At 40.0% G+C, this 20430-nt stretch overlaps 1 pseudogene, besides 3 other annotated features; it reads left to right on the top strand.

Annotated features, from left to right (window-relative positions):
- On the top strand, positions 239-2364 carry LOC100131736 (DEAD-box helicase 18 pseudogene; annotated as a pseudogene).
- Positions 615-784: an enhancer, noted in NCBI's record as "experimental_54373 CRE fragment used in MPRA reporter constructs". NCBI's record gives its function as "activates a minimal promoter by MPRAs in K562 erythroleukemia cells, with activity observed for both the introgressed and non-introgressed 2:161906593 or rs1559527 variant alleles {active_cell/tissue: K562}" and the evidence as "EXISTENCE:reporter gene assay evidence [ECO:0000049][PMID:34662402]".
- Position 699: a transcriptional cis regulatory region, noted in NCBI's record as "Neanderthal adaptively introgressed variant 2:161906593 (GRCh37/hg19 assembly coordinates) or rs1559527 in the experimental_54373 CRE". NCBI's record gives its function as "modulates activity of the experimental_54373 enhancer by MPRAs in K562 erythroleukemia cells {active_cell/tissue: K562}" and the evidence as "EXISTENCE:reporter gene assay evidence [ECO:0000049][PMID:34662402]".
- Positions 10640-10809: an enhancer, noted in NCBI's record as "experimental_54344 CRE fragment used in MPRA reporter constructs". NCBI's record gives its function as "activates a minimal promoter by MPRAs in K562 erythroleukemia cells, with activity observed for both the introgressed and non-introgressed 2:161896568 variant alleles {active_cell/tissue: K562}" and the evidence as "EXISTENCE:reporter gene assay evidence [ECO:0000049][PMID:34662402]".

The following is a 20430-nucleotide window of genomic DNA, read 5'->3' as shown; positions in this document are numbered from 1 at the left end:
CTGTAAGAGTGCAATGAGGATAATTATGGGATAAATAAAATTCACAGACATGTTTTTAAATACTGAACAATATAATGGATATTTTACAACTTGCTACCTTTCAGATTGGTTATATGAGGTCCATAAAGCAAGTTTGTTCAGTGCCATGCATATTAATGAAAAGCCATTTGGAGAGTGGAGGACCCATACAGTGGTGCTGCTGTGAAGATGTGAAGGCGTCTCCCCAAGAACACATCTTACCTACGGATGACACTCCTGTGCAAGAAGATGGAGAGGCAGAATTTCAAATGGTGGCAGTGAAACCTAAAGCCACCGGGGGCTTTGGATGTGAGCCTATCAGAGGCTCAAAATGGAAATGTGTCAGAAGAAACAGTGGGGCATGGAAAAGTTAAAAAAATCCCTAAAACATGTTATGATTGTGGGCTTGTCAGAAGCCCCAAATGGAGACATGTCTAAAGAAATAGTAGAAAATGTAAAAGTTAAAGAAAACTAGAAATCTATCATACTAACCAGTGCAGAAGCAGCAATTCAGTCTCTAGATTCGAAATCAAAAAAGAAAAGAAGAACAAGAGAAAAATAGTGACTAATGCTGGGCGTGATACAAAAAAAGCAAAAACTGAAAACAAAGGGGAATCCGAAGAAGATGGTATCGAGGCTCCTGAAGAAACAGAAAACTGGGGGGAAGCCAGACAATGAGAGAGATGAGAATACTTCATTTCTTCTCTAATTTTGTCAGTGAAAACACTTTGAAGGCAATAAAAGAAATGGGCTTTACCAACATGACTGAAATTTAGCATAAAAATGATGGGCCACTTATGGAAGGCAGGATCTTCCAGCAGCTACACAAACCAGCAGTGGCAAAAACCCTGGCATTTCTCATCCCTGCATTTGAACTAATTGTTAAGTTAAAATTCATGTCCAGAAATGGAACAGGAGTCTTTATTCTCTCACTAATTAAACAGCTTGTCCTGAGACTCTTGGTGTTCTTAAGGAGCTAATGACTCACCATATGCACATGCATGGGTTGATAATGGGTGGCAGTAACAGATCTGCTGAAGTACAGAAGCTTGCAAATGGGATCAGCACTGGTGGTCACACCAGGCCATCTCCTGGGCTGTATGCAGAATTCTGCAGGATTTAAGTATAAAAACCTATGGCGTCTGGTTATGGATGAGGCTAATGATATCTTGGATGCTGGGTTTGAAGAGAAATTAAAGCAAATTATTAAACTTCTTTGAACATGGAGACTATGCCCTTTTCCGCCACACAAACTCAAAAACTTGAAGACCTGGCAAGGATTTCTCCAAAAAAAAAAAAAAAGGAACAAATGTATGCTGGTGTTGATAATGATAAAGCTACTGCAACAGTGGATAGTCTCAAGCGGGGATATGTTGTTCGTCCCTCTGAAAAAGGATTCCTTTTGCTCTTTATATTCCTTAAGAACTGAAAGAAGAAACTGATGGTCTTCTTTTCATCCTGTAGGTCCATAAAATACCACTATGAGTTGCGGAACTACATTGACTTGCCTACCTCAGCCATTCATTTCCAGAAGCAAAATTACGTGTAGAATTACATTTTTTCCAGTTCTGTAATGCAGATTCAGGGATATTGTGTACAGATGAGGCAGGGAGAGAGCTAGATATTCCTGGCTGGATTGTTCAGTATTATCCTCCAGATGACCCTAAGGAATATGTTCATCGTCGGGGGACAATAGCCAGGGACCTAAACGAAAGAGGGCATGCCTTGCTCAGTTTTTGCCCAGAAGAATTGGGTTTTGTTTGTTACCTGAAGCAACCCAAGGTTCCATTAAGTGAATTTGACTTTTCCTGGCCTAAAATTTCTGACATTCAGTCTTGGTTTGTAAAATTAATGAAAAAGAACTACTTTCTTCATAAGTCAGCCCAGGAAGCATATAAGTCATACATACGAGTAAATGATTCTCATTCTCTGAGACAGATTTTTAATGTTAATAACTTAAATTTGCCTCAAGTTGCTCTGTCATTCGGTTTCAAGGTGCCTCCTTCTGTTGATGTGAATGTGAACAGCAATGAAGGCAAGCATAAAAAGAGAGGAGGCGAGAGTAGATTCAGCTACCAGAAAACCAAGAAAGTTAAGTCCATAATCTTTAAAAACATTAGCACGAAATCATCTGATAGCAGGCAGTTCTGTCACTGAAGATACACCTTTCTTTCATCTTGAATAAGTGTCCTGAGGTGGAGTTTTTCCCCTTTGCTCTAACAAAGGCATTTTTGTAGGCTTTAGAATTTGAATGGATATAACAACAGTGTAGACTGACTTGGGTTGCGAGCACTGAGCATTGTTATTTCCAGCAAGTCTCTTTTGTATTTTTGGGATTTAAAACAGATTTTAACTGTTCTTGGTTGCTCAAGGGCAAAGCAAGGAGTCTTCTTCATCTTTCTTGTGATGAGATGATATTTTAATTTTAAATACACCCCAAATTTATGTAATTGTTTTAATATAATTTTGTACCTTAAAAAGAACAAAAGCCTCTTAGAATCAAGATGAAAACTTCAAATTTTCTGTATTTTTTCTTTTTCTATTTTTTCCTTTTTTTTTTTTAGAGATGGTTTCGTTCTGTCACCCAGGCTACAGTGCAGTAGAATAATCAGAGCTCACTGCAGCCCGGACCTGGCAGGCTCAAGTGATCCTCCCACCTCAGCCAACCAAATAGCTAGGACTACGGGCATGCACCACCTTGCCCGGCTAATTTTTATATTTTAATTTTTTGTAGAGATGGAGTTTCACTATGTTTTCCAGGCTAGTCTTGAACTCATTGATTCTCATACCAAAGTGTGAGGATTACAGGCATGAGCCACAGCACTCAGCCCAGCTTCTCTTTATTATGAAAAATGAGAGCTTATTCTTGAGAGGACAACAGGTTTCATTGTTTATCTGGTCTGTCTACTGTAATGAAAGCTGGAGATGTTATTTAGGCAATGAGGCACAATACTGCTGTCACTAGCATTGGTGAGCTGTCCCCACATGGTATGATTATGATTTTCATGTCGTTAGCACTGAAGTCCTCAGAAATAGGATAAAGTGGGAAAGCAGGTGTCAGGTGAGAACTCTGTCCTTGTAAGGAACATCCAGTTGATAGATATGAATGCAATTAAGTACTTCCTGTCACTGGATCATATCATTAGGACTCTGCTCACCTGATCTGTGATACAAGCTGAAATCAACTATGCTGTGAAAACTTTTTCAAATTTTGTCATTTTAGCAAATTACAAAATATTCTCTATATGTAAAAATCTCCAGGTGGGCATTTAAAGTGAAGTGAGCAAGTTCCTAAGAAATATTTCCTGTGTATCTGTTGTTTTATGTTTTGCTAGAAACAAAGGAGATGTAGTTTCAGCTCACAAAGGGCTTAAAGTTTTGTTGGAAGAGAAAATGATAAAGACACTTGACAAAAGCATGTACTTTTTTTTTTTTCTTCAGAGACAGGGCCTTGCTCTGTTGCCCAGGCTGGAGCACAGTGCTATGATTATTGTTCACTGCAGCCTTGAACTCCTAGGCTCATGCTATCCTCCCACCTCAGCTCCCCAAAGCACTGAGATTACAGGTGAAAACCACTGTGCCCGGCCCACAAATATATAATTTTTGGAAGCATGTTGTGACACTTGGAAGTCCCTAAGTGGAAAGTCATATTGAGCAACCAATTAAAAGGTGAAAGAGTTGAGACTTGCATCTGACTCAGCCTTAGAGCACCAGATTTGAATTGGTATGGCAGGAAAAATGGTTTGAGTGGAGAAACAGTGTGGGATTAAAAACAAATGAGCATGTTTAGGGACTGAAAGGAGACCCACTTGACTGCAGCAGTGGATTCCTGTTTCAGAGCACTGGGATGTTTTGGATACATAAGTTGGATCCAAATCGCTAAAGGTTTAGCTTTAGATTTTGATTGCTGCCATAACAAATAATCACAAATGTAGTAGTTTAAGATGACACAAATCTATTATCTTATAGTTCTCTGGGCCTGAAGTCTAGTGGGCTCAACTGGTTTCCCTGCTTGGAATTCATAAGACGAACGTGAAAGTGTTGGTGCAGTTGTGCTCTGGAGAAGAATCTGCATCTGTGCTCATTTAGGTTGTTGGCAGAATTCACTTCTATGTAGTTGTAGGACTGAGGTCTCTGTTTTCTTGCTGGCTGTTGGATGGTGGTTGTTTTTAGCTTTTGGAGGCCACTTGCCTTCTTTGCTCATGGATCCCTTGCTCCATTTTCAAAGCTGGCAAAGGCAGTTTGAGACTATCTCATACTTTAAATCACTCCAGTGCCTCACTCATCTGCTGTATCACCCTGATTCTTCTGCATCACCCTGATTCTTCTGCCTTTCTCTTCCACTGTTAAGGGCCGTTGTGATTACATTGGTCCCAACTAGAGAATAAAGGATAATCTCCTAATCTCCCTGTTTTAAGGTTCAGAACCTTCTATCTGCAAAGTTCCTTTTGCCATGTCACGTAACATATTCATGGGTTCCAGGGACTAAGGGCCAAGCTGAGGAGTTTGAATGTGAGACAGAAGATAATAGAGAAGCACTGTAGATTATTGAACAGAGGAAATGTACGTAGGTACACAGGACAGGCTGATGATATGACATTCCTTCAAACCAGTATTATTTAACTATTCGTGTAACATTTATGTAGAGGAGAGACTGAGCAAGACATAGGGAACAGATGAGGAGAACTACTGGTGGCTGTTTTTGACCTCTCTTTATTAGACCCAAGCAAATTGACTCAATCTTGAAAACTCCACTCAGTAGAAGAAGATTCCTATAGTTGATTGTACTCACCCTCCTTCAGGGCAGTTTAGCCAACACCCTTGTGGGAGGGTGGCTCATCCTCCCCCTGACTTATGTGGTTTATCCAAGTATTCCCTCTATAAACATTTGCGGAGGAATTCTAAAATAAATATCCTTTATCTCACTATCTTTTCAGTGAAGCTTCAGCCCCCTTTTATAGATGGGCATCTTAGGCCACCACCCCACTGTGCCCCCCAGCCCTAAGCTGGTTCTGAGGATATTCATCATTTTATTCATTCATGAGCATTTGCTATATGCAAGTAATGATCCAGGTGCTGGGGTTACTGCAGTGAACAAAGTCCCTTTGCTCCTGGAACTTAACCTTCAAGTGGGAGAAGAAAGTCAGGAATCAAACAAATATACATCAGATGATGCAAATGTGAAGAAACTAAGTAGGTTAGAAGGATAGAGAGTGGTGGGTGAAGATGGAAGGTAACATTGGAAGAGACACTTAAAAGAAGTGAAGGGTTAAGCCATGTGGCCGTCTAGTGTAAGAGTGTTTAAGGCAGAGGAAATAGCAAATGCGATGACTGTGAGAAGGGGGCATGCTTGGGACATTCATGGAAAATAAATGGGTCTAAAAGACTACATATTGGGTACACTGCTTAGGTGATGGTTGCACCAAAATCTCAGAAATGACCACTAGAGAACTTATTCATGTAACCAAACACCACCTGTTCCCCAAAAACCTATTGAAATAAAAATTAAATAAAAATAAATTGGTCTATGGCTGGAGCAGAGTGAGTGAAGGGGGAGGAGTGTTTGGAAAGGAGGTCAGAGAGGTGGCAGGCAGTGCTGTAGTAAAGTCATCTGTCATTGGTCTACATTAAGCAACATTCTAATCTTGGGTCTGCATGTTCTCACACACTGTTTACTCCAAAACTTTAGTCTGATTACCACACAGAAGGATTTATTTGTCTCAAGAAATTTGGACCAAAGAGCAAAATAGCATATCCAAGTTCTGGGTATAGACTGCTGTGAAAAATTAACTTATATGCATTTATTGACTATTGTTTATGACGTAAACAAAGCTGCTCTTCTTCTATAATAAGAAGAGTTGGTAATATTGTACCTTTATTTTCCACCGTCAATATTATTATAAAATAAAAGAGCTGAATATATAATATACTGCCGAGAGGGTAATGAGCAGGATTCAATCACACATTTAAATAAATTTTTAAGAAATCTGAACCATGTCCAAGTTCTTCCATCTAAGCATCACTTAAGAATCTGTTTGTTCAGTTGAGTTTCATCTCTGCAGCTGCCAAGACACTTCAGTTCTGCCAGCTCGACTCTCTGATTGCAAAATAAAGGGTGGTCAGTTAACAGTGGATGTGAAGAATAAGAATGTTCTGTGAAAAGAATGACATTATGAGAAACCCTGATAATGGAAAACTGGAGGCTTCCCTCTTGTGCCCCCCTTAGCCTGAAGGCAGTTAAATGGGAGGGTATTCTCACCTTCCCCGAATCTCAGCAGCCTTTGACGGGGTATGTGTGCTTTTGGAAGATGGATGCACTTTGCTGCAGCTTACATTCATAAATATTTTTGTAGTATAATAGGTTGTCAAAACAAATCTGTGTTTTCCATTTGTGTGTGCGTGAGTGTGTCAGTATGCCTCTTCATCTTTTTGTCCATCTAGAGGTAGAGCACAAATAGTTTACTTTCCTCATTGTGGATTTTTCATTACAGTATAGAGTTTTGCAGAAGTGAGTCATGAGGAATAGGTAAATAAATGACCATATAATCGGTGGGAACAGTTTGTGTATCTTTGTTTTAGCAGTTCCATGTCTTTGCTGGAAATCTGTGGTTCTTTTTAAGCATTATTTGATGGAAAATCTTATCTGAAGCTTGGCAGTAACTATATCATTGAGCTGGGGAGGGAAGGCAAGGTGGTCTTGTTGACAACACAGTCGTGCCTGTGGAAATGCAGCATTGTGTTCAGAGGACAGGCACCAAGTTTCATACAACTTCATCACTTGTTAGCTGTGTGACCTTAAGTGATCTGCTTAACTTCTCTGAGACTCCATTTTTTATTTTGTAAAATGAGGAAAACAATGCTTACATCCTGGAGTGGTTGTGAGAATTACATGAGGTAATATAAGTATAGTGCTTAGTGTAGTGCCTGCACCTGCTAAATGCTCTATAAATGGTATCCATTTTTACTATCATTTTTCTTTGGCTTATTTCATTCTGATGGCACAGCATGTAGACTTGGCATAAAGCAGCAGTCTTTCCGGTGCATGGAAATGTAGTTCCTTAGAGGCTAGCACATCAAACCCTGAAACTCAGTGTATATCCTCCTTCAAATTTTTCACAATATTTTTCTCTCTTCAAGGAAACCTGGACAAAACATTTTGCTGCTTGCTGCCTGAATTGACCAGCAATTCTAGTTTCCAAGGAGATTGTAAATGGATGTATTTGTGTATGCTGATTTGCCTCAACTTTAGAAGAAATCCTCAGGGTATTCTTCAAAAGAGACAGAACATAATGGAAATGCTTTTATTTTTTCATAAGCCGTGGAAAATTGTGTGTGTATGTGTGTGAATCCTTAGTGATCTAAAAGTTACTTAGAAGTGGTCAGGCAAATGGAAAGATTTGCTAATGAAAGATTTATCTCCCCATGACTGCAATTTTATATGTCCTTTCAGATTAATTTATCTGGGTCTTTTTCTATTTAGAAAGGCATTTAGTGTAATTTGGAATTGTAATTAGGATATTCTATACCATCTGCAGTGCTCGATGTAATTCTCTAGCTTCACTATGGTTACATCACAAAGGAGGCTGGAGCTGAAGTCTGCTTTTTTACTCTAGAAAACCCAACAGCACTCACACAATGTCTATCCTTGATAGGTATTCAATACTGGTTAACTGATAATAAAGTTTTACTCCTGGTACAGGTTCCATTAGGGCTTGTGGTGAAAAATTGCACATTAATATCTTAAAAATTATGGATTGATGGACAGAGGATGCCACTTTCAAAGGCTCTTGGTTCTAATTCTAGATAGCCCATATGACATTGACCCAGGCCTCTCTTAGTCTCTCTGTTTTCATTCAGTCAATTGTCAGATGGGATAATAAAACTGATGTAGCTTCTAGTATTTTAAGGAGAGTTATTGCTGTTATTTTTTTGCATATCTAAATGTTGAAAATTTTGATTTAGAGGTCAATATCATTCTTTTCACAGAACACTTTTATTTTTCACATCCACTATTAAATGGCCACCCTTTATTTTGCAATCAGAAAGTTGAACTGGCAGAATTTAAGTGCCTTGGGTCCAGGCTTGTTTGATGGATTGATTCATTCATTCATCACTCATCATGTATTCGTGCAGCACTGAGTGGCACAGTGTGGTGTAAAGGACACAAGCTTTAGAGTCAAGACTTGGGTTTGCATCCAAGCTCTCTTACTAGTTTTATGATCTTGGTAAAATTACTTCACCTTTATGAGCTTCCATACTGACATCTGTGAACATAGGTGGTTGCAATGATTACAGAAGAATGAAGAGGTGAAATGCCTGCACAGTGCATATTCCTTTTAGATAGGAGGTGCTCTACTTCCCTCCTACTTTGCACACTGGCATCCCATGGAACAGACTGACAGTCTTTACTCTTTAGAGAGTTTGCAATCTAAATGAGGAATATGTAAAAAGGAATAATTATAACATTACGATTTGGCAAGAGCCATCCTGGTCTTATTAAAAAATGAGTCTGTGGATAGTTTGAGTGAAAACAGTGAGTAAAAACCAGGGTTCAAGAAGAGATTCTAAACAAAACATGATTGGCAGCCAACCTTAACTTCTGATACTGGAGCTGCCTTTGCCAGTGCTTTCTTCATCAATGCCTAAGTTGTAGTGAGACCACAAAAGCGAAATCTCTCATACCTGCTTGCTGATCAAGGGGATTATGTTCAGTTATATGTGAGTTGTACTAGATTAAGTATTAGTAAAGAGTTTCTTTTCTCAACTTCTCCTAAATAGATTAAGTGGTTTATTAATGTGCTTTTAATTCCATTATCTTTAACATTTTTCATTCAAAATGTATGTAATAGATTGGGAGTGCTGGGGGATGTACCCAGCCCCCACAGGCAGATTTGTTACCACCCCATCTGCCATCCCAAATGCTAAATCCCAGGAACACCACTGCTTTGCAGTATGTTCTATTTTATAAGACTTTGAGGAAAGAGAAACACAGAAAGACAGTGACAATCACTGCAGGGTTAGAGAGACAGAGAGCATAAGGTTAGAGCTAAAACTTCTAAAAAGCAAATGGAGTGTTGGAAAAAAGGAACAGAGGGAAGAATTGAATACATTTACCAGGGAATTAATGAATAGGCTAAAGGTATTTATGCAGGCAGAGAGCATATGGAAAAGGGGGAAATGAATCATGGAAGAAGGCAGCAAGTCTTATCACACGAGTTTTTTCATCTTGAGAAGTGTGTGTGTGTGTGTGTGTCTGTACACAAGCTAACGTGTGTGTGTGATTGGAAGGAGAAACAGTTACTAAGTCCAGTCCATACCACAGGAGAGAGGAAAAAAGTATCTACCATGAGGTTGTCATGATGGTTAATGTGTTCTGAAGTGTTACATCTGAGCTATACCTTGTAGAGGACTTCTGTAGTAACTATAAAGAGAAAGCCATAGAGCAAGGGGAAGGGCTGTGGAGAGCTGAGATCTGGATGAATACGGTAAGCTTCTCCACTTGCTGGCACTTTTATTGCCCCCTCCTCCTTCCTGGTTTCAAGACTTGCTGTCATACCAAGTGATTGGTTTTGCCAGGGCCCTTACAGGTATTGGTGTCTCCTGTAAGAATGACTGTAGAGAAATGGGAGGCTTGGAGAGATTGGGGGATTTTGAAAGACTATGGGTTTGAAAACTTCTGCAACTTGGGGCTGTAGAAATAGGGAGGGGAAGACAAACTTATTCCTAAGTGTTTCTGATGAAGAATATCTTGGCCGGATGTGGTGTCTCATGCCTATAATCCTAACCCTTTGGGAGGCTGAGGAGGGTGAACACCTTCACCTCAGGTGTTTGAGACCAGTCTGGGCAGCATAGCAAAACCGCATCTACAAAAAGTACAAAAATCAGCTAGGTGTGGTGGTGCATGCCTGTAGTGTCAGCAACTCGGGAGGCTGAGGCAGGAGGATCGCTTGAGCTCAGGAGGTTAAGCTTTCAGTGAGCCAAGATTGCACCACTGCACTCCAGCCTGGGCAACAGAGCGAGACCCTGCCCCCCTACCCCTCCAAACACACACACACACAGAATATCTTGCCTCATTAAATATAATTGTAACATTGGGGACAGGGTTCAGGAGAGTATGTGGTACAAGTGAGCGTGGGAAGCAATTAAGCACATGGGAGGAGCCTGAGAATAATGCAGACAAAAAAATGTCAAATAGGACTCAGAGCAGTTGAAAAAAATGGCTGAACCTGGATGATATAAGAAAAGGCTCTAAGAAGGTGGGTGTTTCTGAGGCCAGAGGATGGCCAGCAATGGAACTGCCCTGCCAGTCTACAGTGGAGCCACCTGAAGTGAGAGCTGAGCGGCCAGCACAAGGCCAGGAGTCATGGCAGTGACATCTGTCCTAAACCCATGGGCTAGGCTTGGGTTGTGCCTGCAGGGACAGGGCCTGGAATTGAGTTCTCCCGCAGGGTGATCTCTATACAGATGTCTGACTGAGGCCTGTGTACTGGCACTATGCTCCCTGCTCAAAGCTCGTATGTGGAAATTATAATCCAGCAGATTATTTTTGAAATCTTGAAAAATCTCCTGATCATAATAAGTTCCTAGCTAAAAACCTCCAGATAGACAGGAAAGCACAATTTCAAAAAAGAGCTTACATCTAAGGAAGTAAAAAAAGGTAATTTTATAAAATCAAAAATGTAAATGCATTTAATAACCTCAAAGAGATAAAGAGGTGAAAGTATCTATACATAGACATATAGATAGCTATATAGATATATAAAAATATGATGTTATAAATCAAGAATGGGTTATTATGAAAAAGAACCACTTAGAAATAATGGCAATAAAAAATAAGGTTGTTGATATAACAAGACTCGACATAGTGAACTAGACATAACTTAGACATAACTGAAGAGTCAATTAGTGAATCATAAAATTGTGTTGAAATATTAATTTTATCTGATATTAATTGAGTAATTATTTTGTGCCCAACATTATTCTAAGCATTTAATATGTATAATTTCATTTAATCCTTGCAAGAATGATATAAAGTAGGTTCTCTTTTCATTCCCAATTTATTGATTAGGAAATTAAGGCCAAGAGGATAAGTAATTTGCCAAAAGTCACACAACTAGTCTTAAATCTAAAAAGAGCCCTTGTGTTTAACCATCGCACTATAACACTAACTCCCAAGATTTCTCAAGATGCAGCACAAATAATTAAAGAGATAGAAACTAAAGGAGGAAAAGTTAAGAGGGGATAAATTCCAGAGATAATGAATAAAAATCTGTATTTTAACAAATCCACGGGTGATTTATAAGCATTTTAAAGATCGAGAGCTTTGTTCATTCCCAAGTGTGTTTTCTTAAGATAGTAATGAACAAAGCTCTTCTCTCATCCTCTATTGGATGCTTCTCTGAACAGTGACTCGGATTCTGGGAGAATTCGACAAGGGAAGCTCACTATTCAGCAGTCCCTAGGGCGATTTGGCAGCATAGATCTTCTGAATGCCAGTTCCAAATGATTGCTAGTGGTCATCTGAAGCTATGTTGAGAAGGATTCTGAGGCTACATCTGGCCGTAACAGGAAAGAGTACTGTAATTAGTGATATGTGTCATGGGCAAGGGAAGGAGTAACATGGGGGAGGGTTAGCAGTATGTGGCCATATATATGGCCTGGAGAGAATCCCATCTGCTAACCATCTTTGGAGGCCAATGAAGGACAGGATTAGGAGAGCAATGAGCAGGTAGTGAGGACCACTTCTTTTATAGAGACCTCAAATTCTGGGTTACCGAATTTTCTGAAGACTACCTTTGTTTTGAGGTGACATAAGTAAATTATTTTTGTACAAACATGGGCTTGAGACCTTCTCAAACTGACCCATATATTTCAAATTCTAGTACTGAAGAGAACCCAATAGGACCAGCTGATTGGGGAACATCTACACCAGCTTATGTGAACTTGGTTTCTAATACCCTAAAATCTCTATTGACAAAACAGGATTTCTGAGAATTTGTCACCATTCATATTAGTGTGTAGAATTGAATACTCCTATCAATTTGTCAGGACTTTCATATTCCTGCTCGGCTCCTCATTTCTATCCTACTCATCTCAAGCTGACCTAGGTTAAAGGGCTGAAGCAGCTTTCAGCAGACGACACTTATGGCCCACCACGCTTGTCAGGCCATAGGATGTTGCGCCGTTAAAGATTTTACTCAGGCAGTGTTTTTTGTTTGTTTGTTTGTTTGTTTTTCTAAAGTGTTTCAATTTCCTAAGATATTTTAGGATCTTTAATATTTTTCAAGAAGGCAAAGTCTTCTAGAAGCAAATAGTTTATTAACAAAGAATAAAAAGGTCTAATAGTGCTAGACAAGGGGCTTTAAGAATGGAATTGAGAAGTCAGGGATCTATAATAAAATGATAATATGACTGCCTTTGGATGAATTGCTGCGTTGGAAAAATCAGGAAATTTGATATCTGACAGGTCTAGGTAGAATTTTGACTATTCTAAAATGTACAAATTTGAGAAGGTCTCTGTTTCCTCAGTTGTAAAATGGGTAAAATAATACCTCCCACACAGTGCCATGTGTATAAATGTGTGACACATTAATAACATCTAAACAAAAAATGAGAGTTTCCCTTTCTTCTGTTATCTGGTTTCATTGCACATGACATGTTGTTATCAACCTCAATTTTAAGAGTTCAGAGGAACATGATGCCAATATTTTAGTGTTCCAACTTCCAATTAGGAAAGTAACATGTTATCTAATCCAAATCTCTCATGTTTTAATTTATTCTGCAAATTATGAAAATAGCAAATTCTTATGCTGATCAAGCTGCCCCTGAAGACATGGATGTAGGGTCTAAGTACCTTAAAGCTCACAGAGCGAGTGGAGCTGAGTTGGTGCACTTCCTTTGCCAGCAGGATAAGCTGCACTCACCTGCCAGGCTGCAGCAGGGAGATGAAGTACCCTGATCACTCATGTCTTGATTCTGAGTCCAGCCAACACTGCCTTTGAAAGTGATGAGGATATGCATTCATTGCCATAGACTAAAGGAGAAATGTCCCGTAAAAATAATTCTTGCACTTGCAGACATTCTAAAGCCTCTATGGTAAGATCTTTTCCAGTCTATTTGCACTGTGAGGAGGAGACTGAAGAGGAAACTGAGACACACTCAGCTGTCAGACATGGAGCTAAGAATACACATAGCCTCCTGATTCTAAGTCATGCTAACCAGTTTGCCTCTTGATTGCCCCCAAGGTACAAGTACAAAGGATTTATGGACAAAATCATCTCTTTATGTGGTGCTCCTAAGGTATCTAGCATAGTCCTGGCATCTAGAAAGTGCCATGATGTCTGACTATTGTTGCAGAAAGTGACTTTTTTTTTTTCTTTTTAACTACAGTAGCCATGACAATCTAGGGATGTTTGGGATTCAGATAGACTGTTTTCCCTTCTTCCTTGAGCTCAATCTGGTCAGTAGGAAAGGAAATTTGACCATGATGCATCCTTAAGGAAATCTTCCATAAAAAGACATGCCATAAAGACTTAAGCACATGGCAGAAATTATTACAGAGTCATCTTCAGAAAGTTTATGACAGTTAAGGACGTGGGAACTGGAGGACTCAGGATAATTGGATCAGGCTGTGATGTACTGAGAATCATTTGTGGTTTTGGTGGCAGTAAATGTGCTAGTAAGACCAAACCAGTCAAAACTAACTGCAATGGGCCTATTATTTGCAGGAAATATGTTCCCATAAGAAGCCCTTGATGAACAAGTAGCTTAATGATAACATAAAAACCTAGAGACTTTAGCCTGAGGTCAAAGATACTTAGTAATAGCCAGTTCTTGGTCTTGACATTAAAGGAAAGAAAATATCTGAAAATCAAAAAAGGAATTCACTAGATTAATGAAGGAGGCCAATTAACCCACTTTGCAACCAAAACTAAACAAAACCAAACAAGAACAAAAACACCATGCCCAGAAAGTTGAGAAAAAAGAAAATTAACATAAGTGTATCAGGCTTTGTGAAACTTTGGAGCATCCTAGGAAGGAAATGATATGGACTATCACCAGCTAATTATTAGACAGAATCTGCTGCCAGCGTCGGGGAAACAGAACCAAGGAGGAATCAATCTCCGCTCCGTGAAGTGCTAATTTCAAAGCCCAGTTAGGTTTCCACGGCCCTGATTTCTTGGCTATGGACAAAGTGTGTGGCGTTCTCACCCTTTTCCATGCTGCTGCCAAGCTTGTCCTGCACTGTGTCCTTAGGTGCCCACTGATGATATCCTGAACCTGAGTCACCTGAGGTCATCCCTGCTCAGACAGAGCTCCAGCCAAATTGTATCGGATTCAGATTCAATTTTCAATACTTACTTCCAAGAGAGACTCAGTCCCTGGTTCAGATACTGGCAATCCTTGGCCTTTTCTCGACCATCTCCACCCACCTATGTGCTGAGGGCCTTTCTTAGAACAGGGGTTTGGTCAGCATTTCAGCTAAGCTAAGCAGCTGTCTCTGGAGGATATCAGGACAGACCCTCAGAGTCTCTGTGTCCCTGTGACCACCCTCCTCCCCAACATATGTACTTCACTGCCACACTGCCAAGTGACAAGATCAAATAGCCTTTCTCCATAAATGGGACATAAGGAGAGAAGTGGCATTTAAGGCACAGGAAAGGATGGGAAATTTTTCTTTTCCTTAAGTGTCTCTTGACTCTAAGGGATTATATAGGTGTAGGAGTCAGAAAACCTGGACTCTAATTCTGGCTCTGCTAGCCACTTCACTTGAGAGCGTCATGTTAGGTGCAAAAAAGAGGTAGTTGCATTATGGAAAGCAGTATGGCAATTCCTCAAAGAGCTAAAAGCAGAACTATCATTCCATCCAGCAATCCCATTACTAGGTATAGCCAGAAAAATATAAGGCATTCTACCCTAAAGACACATGCACGCAAATGTTCATTGCAGCACTGTTTGCTATAGCAAAGACATGGCATCAACCTAAATGCCTGTCAATGACAGATTGGATAAAGAAACTATGGTACATATACACCACGGAATACTATGCAGCCATAAAAAAGAACGAGATCTTGTCTTTTGTGGGAACATGGACGGAACAGGAGGCTATTATCCTTAGCACACTAATGCAGGAATGGAAAGCCAAATACTGCACGTTTTCACTTACAAGCTAAATGATGAGACCTTTTGAACACAAAAAAGGGAATAACAGACACTAGCGTCTACTTGAGGATAGAGGGTGGGAGAAAGGAGAGGAGCATAAAAAAATAATTATTGGGTACTGAGCTTAATACCTGGGTGATGAAACTATCTGTACAACAAACCCCCGTGACACAAGTTTGCCTGTGTCACGGCAAACTTTGTATGTTATCTACATAACAAACCTTCACATGTACCCCTGAACCTAAAATAAAAGTTTTTAAAAAGAGGGGGTTGTGTTAGATAATCTGTAGAAGGATCCGTTTCAGCCCTAACTGTCTTTCATAATCTGTGAAAATGGCTTGCAGTCAAGGAGGTTTCAGGCATTCATTGCATTCTCTTCCTATCATTTGCCTTTCTTGACTTCCATGTTCTTTCCCTCCATTGAATCCATATGCACTTTGTACCACCTTTAGGGCATTTGCCATGTTCTGCCTTATAGCCATTTGAATTCTTGACTTCTTACCTCCTACAGATGATAAATTTGGGAGTATCAGGGATGGCAATTTATATACCTTGGTTTTGCATCAAAGTACCAAGTGAAGTGCCTGGCACATAAATATTTGGGAAGTTAGATTGTCAGTGTCTAGCATGGGAACCATGATAAGTCAACAGTCTCTGCCTTATGGCAGGTGCCTGGTGTCTGGGAACAATTCTCAACTTGCTGTTAAGTTGTCATATCCCAATCAATATTGTGGCCATGGTTTGTCTGATGAGTGGTAGTTGGAACCTTTTATTTCAGGTTGTTTGGGGTCAACTTGTATGTTTTGTGCTCTTTGGTAGCTTCTTTAGATTATGGCCCTTGGGCTTTTTAATTCTCATTTCTCTTGGGTGTTTTTTTTGCTCAGTGCTATGGTGCTAAAGATGCTCTACATCCACTGTTGTAATCTCAGTTGTCTTGAAATCATCAGGCTTTGGTAGGAAAGATTTGCGACTTAATTGAACAGTGACTATGAAGGAGTTAAGTGTTATATTGTAAAGCAGCCACTTGATTAATGGATGCAAAATGCCTTTCCCTTCCTTTATTGTTTTTCTTCCTGCTTTGCCTTAAAGTTGAGAGATCAAAGGAACTTATAGTAGTTATAGTCATCTATAAATTATTTGGTTCTCAGTTTCTCAGTGAATTTGTAGACTACTTTGAACCTCTGTACTACCAACGAGATTGAATAGAAAGGGATTCTGTGATGCTTATATTCGGATATGCCAATGAGAAAATAGCTACATTACCATTTTTCACTGTTGTCTGAAGTGCCGCTTTTAAAATTAATCTCCACAGCATCACTTGGATAATTTGTGATGTCGGCAGAAAGCAAGTCTTCAGGGTTCAATGGTGCTCAGTTCTGAGAGTGACACTAAAGAACAGCAAGTCATGGATGCAGGAGACATTTGTCTTGAGTTTTGACTGCCTAGTTCTTGAGCACCCTCCCTAGGCTTGTAGGAATTTTCCTCATACAATGCAATGTTTCTCATGACCAAAGAAGCTGAAAATACCAAATACTCGCTTTCTTGCAGCTGGAGGATGGGCACGTGACTGGGTTCTACCAATTGGGTGCACTCACCTGTTTTTTGGAAACTGATGAAACAAAAAACCTCAGAACACTTGAATTTTTATCTTAGGGAGGTTGATGGTCACAGCAGCAACCTAGAGGTTTCTGAAGTGGTTGTGACAACAGTTTATCTGCAGTGTCCAGCAATGTGGCTGTTGGGAGGGCTGTGTCCAGTGATGCTGTTTGTTTTCACAGGACCAACCAGTTCTGTGGTGGATCTGGGACCTTGTTCTGGGCTGCAGAGCCTCTAAGCCTGGTTCTCCAGCCCTTCTGTAGATTCTGTGAGCTATGTAATATATTTTAATAAAATCCTGTTTCTGCTTTAATTAGCCAGAGTTGGTTCCTGTTGCTTGCATCTAAAAACTGTGATTGATACATTGGTCCATGCTCCCAAGAGATTTCTAATCTTGGGGTGGAGGTGACTAACATAAACATCTGGAATATATAAGATAGTATGTCAGATTATATCCAGTGGATAGTGCTTCATACTAAAACAACTACAGGAATAGAGAATAGGAAGAGAAAGCACAGTGTAGTGATTCAGACTCCAGACTAAATCCAGGGATTACCCACTCAGATGCCTTGAAGGGCCATGCAGATAGAAGTAAAAGAATGCAGCAGTTGGGCTTTGGGGAAAATTAAACAAGACAGTAGTTATAAAGCTCAGTGAACTGTTTATAATAAATGAACAAAACTGGTACCATGGTAATAGCAACAACAATAATGAAGGCTAAACCAATAAAAATCGCTAGTCTTTACCTATTCCTTACTGAGAGCCAGACCTTGTTCTAGAGCTTTATTCTTAGGGTACATAAATTACCTATTCAGCTTGCCTGGGAATGTCCTGCTGTATCCTGTTTAGTTTAGCTTTTATCCTGGATTTTCCTTCCCCTTCCCCTTCCCCTTCCCGTTTTCCTTTCCCTTTCCCTTTCCTTTGACAGAGTCTCATTCTGTTGCCCAGGCTGGAGTGCAGTGGCATGATCTCTGCTCACTGCAACCTCTGTCTCCCGGACTCAAGTGATTGTCCTGCCTCAGGCTCCCTAGTAGCTGGGATTACAGGTGTGCGCCACCATGCCTGGCTAATTTTTGTATTTTCAGAAGAGACGGGGTTTCACCATGTTAGCCAGGCTGGTCTCGAACTCCTAGCTTCAAATGATCCACACACCTGGGCCTCCCAAAGTGCTGGGGTTACAGGTATGAGCCGCTGTGCCCGGCCTCCACAGTGCGGTTCTTGATGGCCACTCAGTGGACCAACTAGATGTGCCAAGGCCCATGAGACATAGCCTGCAAGGAAAGGGCCAAATAAAGCTAAGCAACTGATTAAAGAATGTGAATATGCCCCAACATGAATATTCTGCTTATATATATTTTTTAATATTCAGAAAGCCAAAAAATTTAGGCTTAATGTATACTGATATGTATTGTTTTTGGGAAAAAATTATTTCTGAAATAGTGTTTGAATAGAACTATTTTATAGATCCATCAATAAGCTTAAAATATTTTCTGGGGTCAGTAAATAAGTTTAATTGAACTGCGCATCATTATTTCAAAAGTAATATGCATTTTACTCATTTTTAGTACCTCTTTTCACACTCAGAAATATAATGTTTTGGGCAATAAATTATAAGATCATCTTATATGTTTGTATTTACTTGCTTAATCCTCTCAACAACCTTCTGAGGTAGATTTTTTAAAAAATTCTATTCACAATTGAGAAAACTGAGGGTCAGCAAATTATAGGAATCTGTTGCTTAAAATACTTAGCTAATCTGCAGCAAGCTGAGATTTTAAATTTGGCAATCTGGCTCCAGAGTCTTTGCTCACAACCATTACTCAAAGGTAGATCTAATGGGAGAAGTAAGATTTTAATACAAAGACTTGCTCTACTCTTCCACCGAGCCTCTTCCTAGAGTGGAGCCTGGGGCAATTTACTTCCCCTCTTTGAGCCTCTTATCTTTATCTACAAAATGGGAGTACTACTCTCCATGTCATAGAGTTGCTGGGAGGAATCAATGAATTAATGTGTAAGAAAAGTGCTTTTGTAGGCTTAAAATGCTGTACATGTTTAAGATAATCATGTGTGGCCTTTTCCATACATCTAAGGCAGCATTTCGTGGGATGATGCCGTAAACCAGAAGTCAGGGTGCATTCTGGGTGATGGGCAATGACTCTCAGTTTCTCCAAGTTCTATCTCCAGTTGAATAAAGTCAAAGATAACACTTCAGATGTGTGTAGAGAAACACATTATGATGTTAGATACCAAGAATCCTCACACTGGTGGCATGAAGCATATGCATATGTGGTTGAATTCTTCTGGGTTTACGTAGAGTCATAGGGCCTAAGAGATCAGAAGGATTTAAAATCTGTTCTATTCTTTTAGAAGTGGCTGCCAGCAAAGAGAAACCATTTCTGCCTTGTTTCTCTGATTTCTGCCTAAAATCTAGGTGGAAAGTGGGAATAAAAACTGGGTCATTGTGGCTAACTGATGGATTTTTTTTAATAATCCCATGAAGGGAACTAGGTAATTTCCCATCCTCATGGCCATTGTTCAGGCTCTGATCTCTATCCTCTCAACAATGGCAGGAGTTGGAATTACCTCAAGTCTGAACTCCTCTGACCCACTTGCTTTGCTGCTACTGCACAGATTTTTCTAAAGTGCAAATCTGATCACTCCACTTCCCTGCTTACAATCTTTCAGTGACTTCCTTTATCCTTAGGATAAAGTTTAAAGCTCTTTGCATGGTGGGGTGGACATCCACTATTTTCCCTTGCTCCGCTATCACTCCATATGGGATGGATTTGACTGAATTACCTGGAACTAACTATGGGCACGTGACCCAGGCCTGGCTAATTAGAGTATTAGAGATTCATTTAGGGATGGGCATAAGATCCAGTTCAGGCCACTGCAAAGTTAAGCCTGAGTTGAAGGAAGACTCCTGATCCATTATTTTTCCCTGCCCCACTCTTCACTCCACATTGGATGGATTTGACTGAACTGCCTGGAACTAACTGTGGGCACATGACCCAGGCTTGGCTAACTAGAGTATTAGAGATTCATTCAGGGATGGGCACAAGATCCAATTCAGGCCACTGCAAGTTAGGCCTGAGTTGAAGAAAGATTCCTGATGATCAGCCAAGTACTGTAACCAGCCATACTGGAAAACTCATTTACCTCCTAAACTCTCTAGTATCTGAGTCACTGCATTCCACATTTTGTTATTTAAGCTATTTGTATCGTGTTTCTGTGACTTGAAACCAAAAAGTTCTTGCCTAACACACCAGTATACAACGTTCTTCATGCTCTGGCCCAGGTTACCTCATCTGACTCATCCCCTTGCACTTTGGATATACAGTGTTGAATTGCTCAATGCAGCGTGCTATTTTATGCCTCTGAGCTTTCTGCCTAGAATGCCTTTCACTATTCTACTCTGCTTCTTCATCCTCCTATCTTATTCTATTCATCATTCAAAATGCCACTCAACAATGGTATCTTCTCAAAAGCCTCCATTGAAACACCAGTCTAGGTTGCTCCTTCCTTGTGTTTGCTCTTATCACTCCACACTGTAGCCATGGGTCTACTTCTCTGACATCCTTTCTAGATCAAAAATTTCTCAGGGAAAGGAGTCCCATGTCTTATGTCTTATGTCTCAGGGAAAGGGATCCCATG

This window comes from Homo sapiens, chromosome 2 (assembly GCF_000001405.40).
Source record: "Homo sapiens chromosome 2, GRCh38.p14 Primary Assembly".
Lineage (NCBI taxonomy): Eukaryota > Metazoa > Chordata > Mammalia > Primates > Hominidae > Homo > Homo sapiens.
Note: the sequence above shows the minus strand (reverse complement) of the source record. Positions and strands in the feature narration are given on the sequence as shown.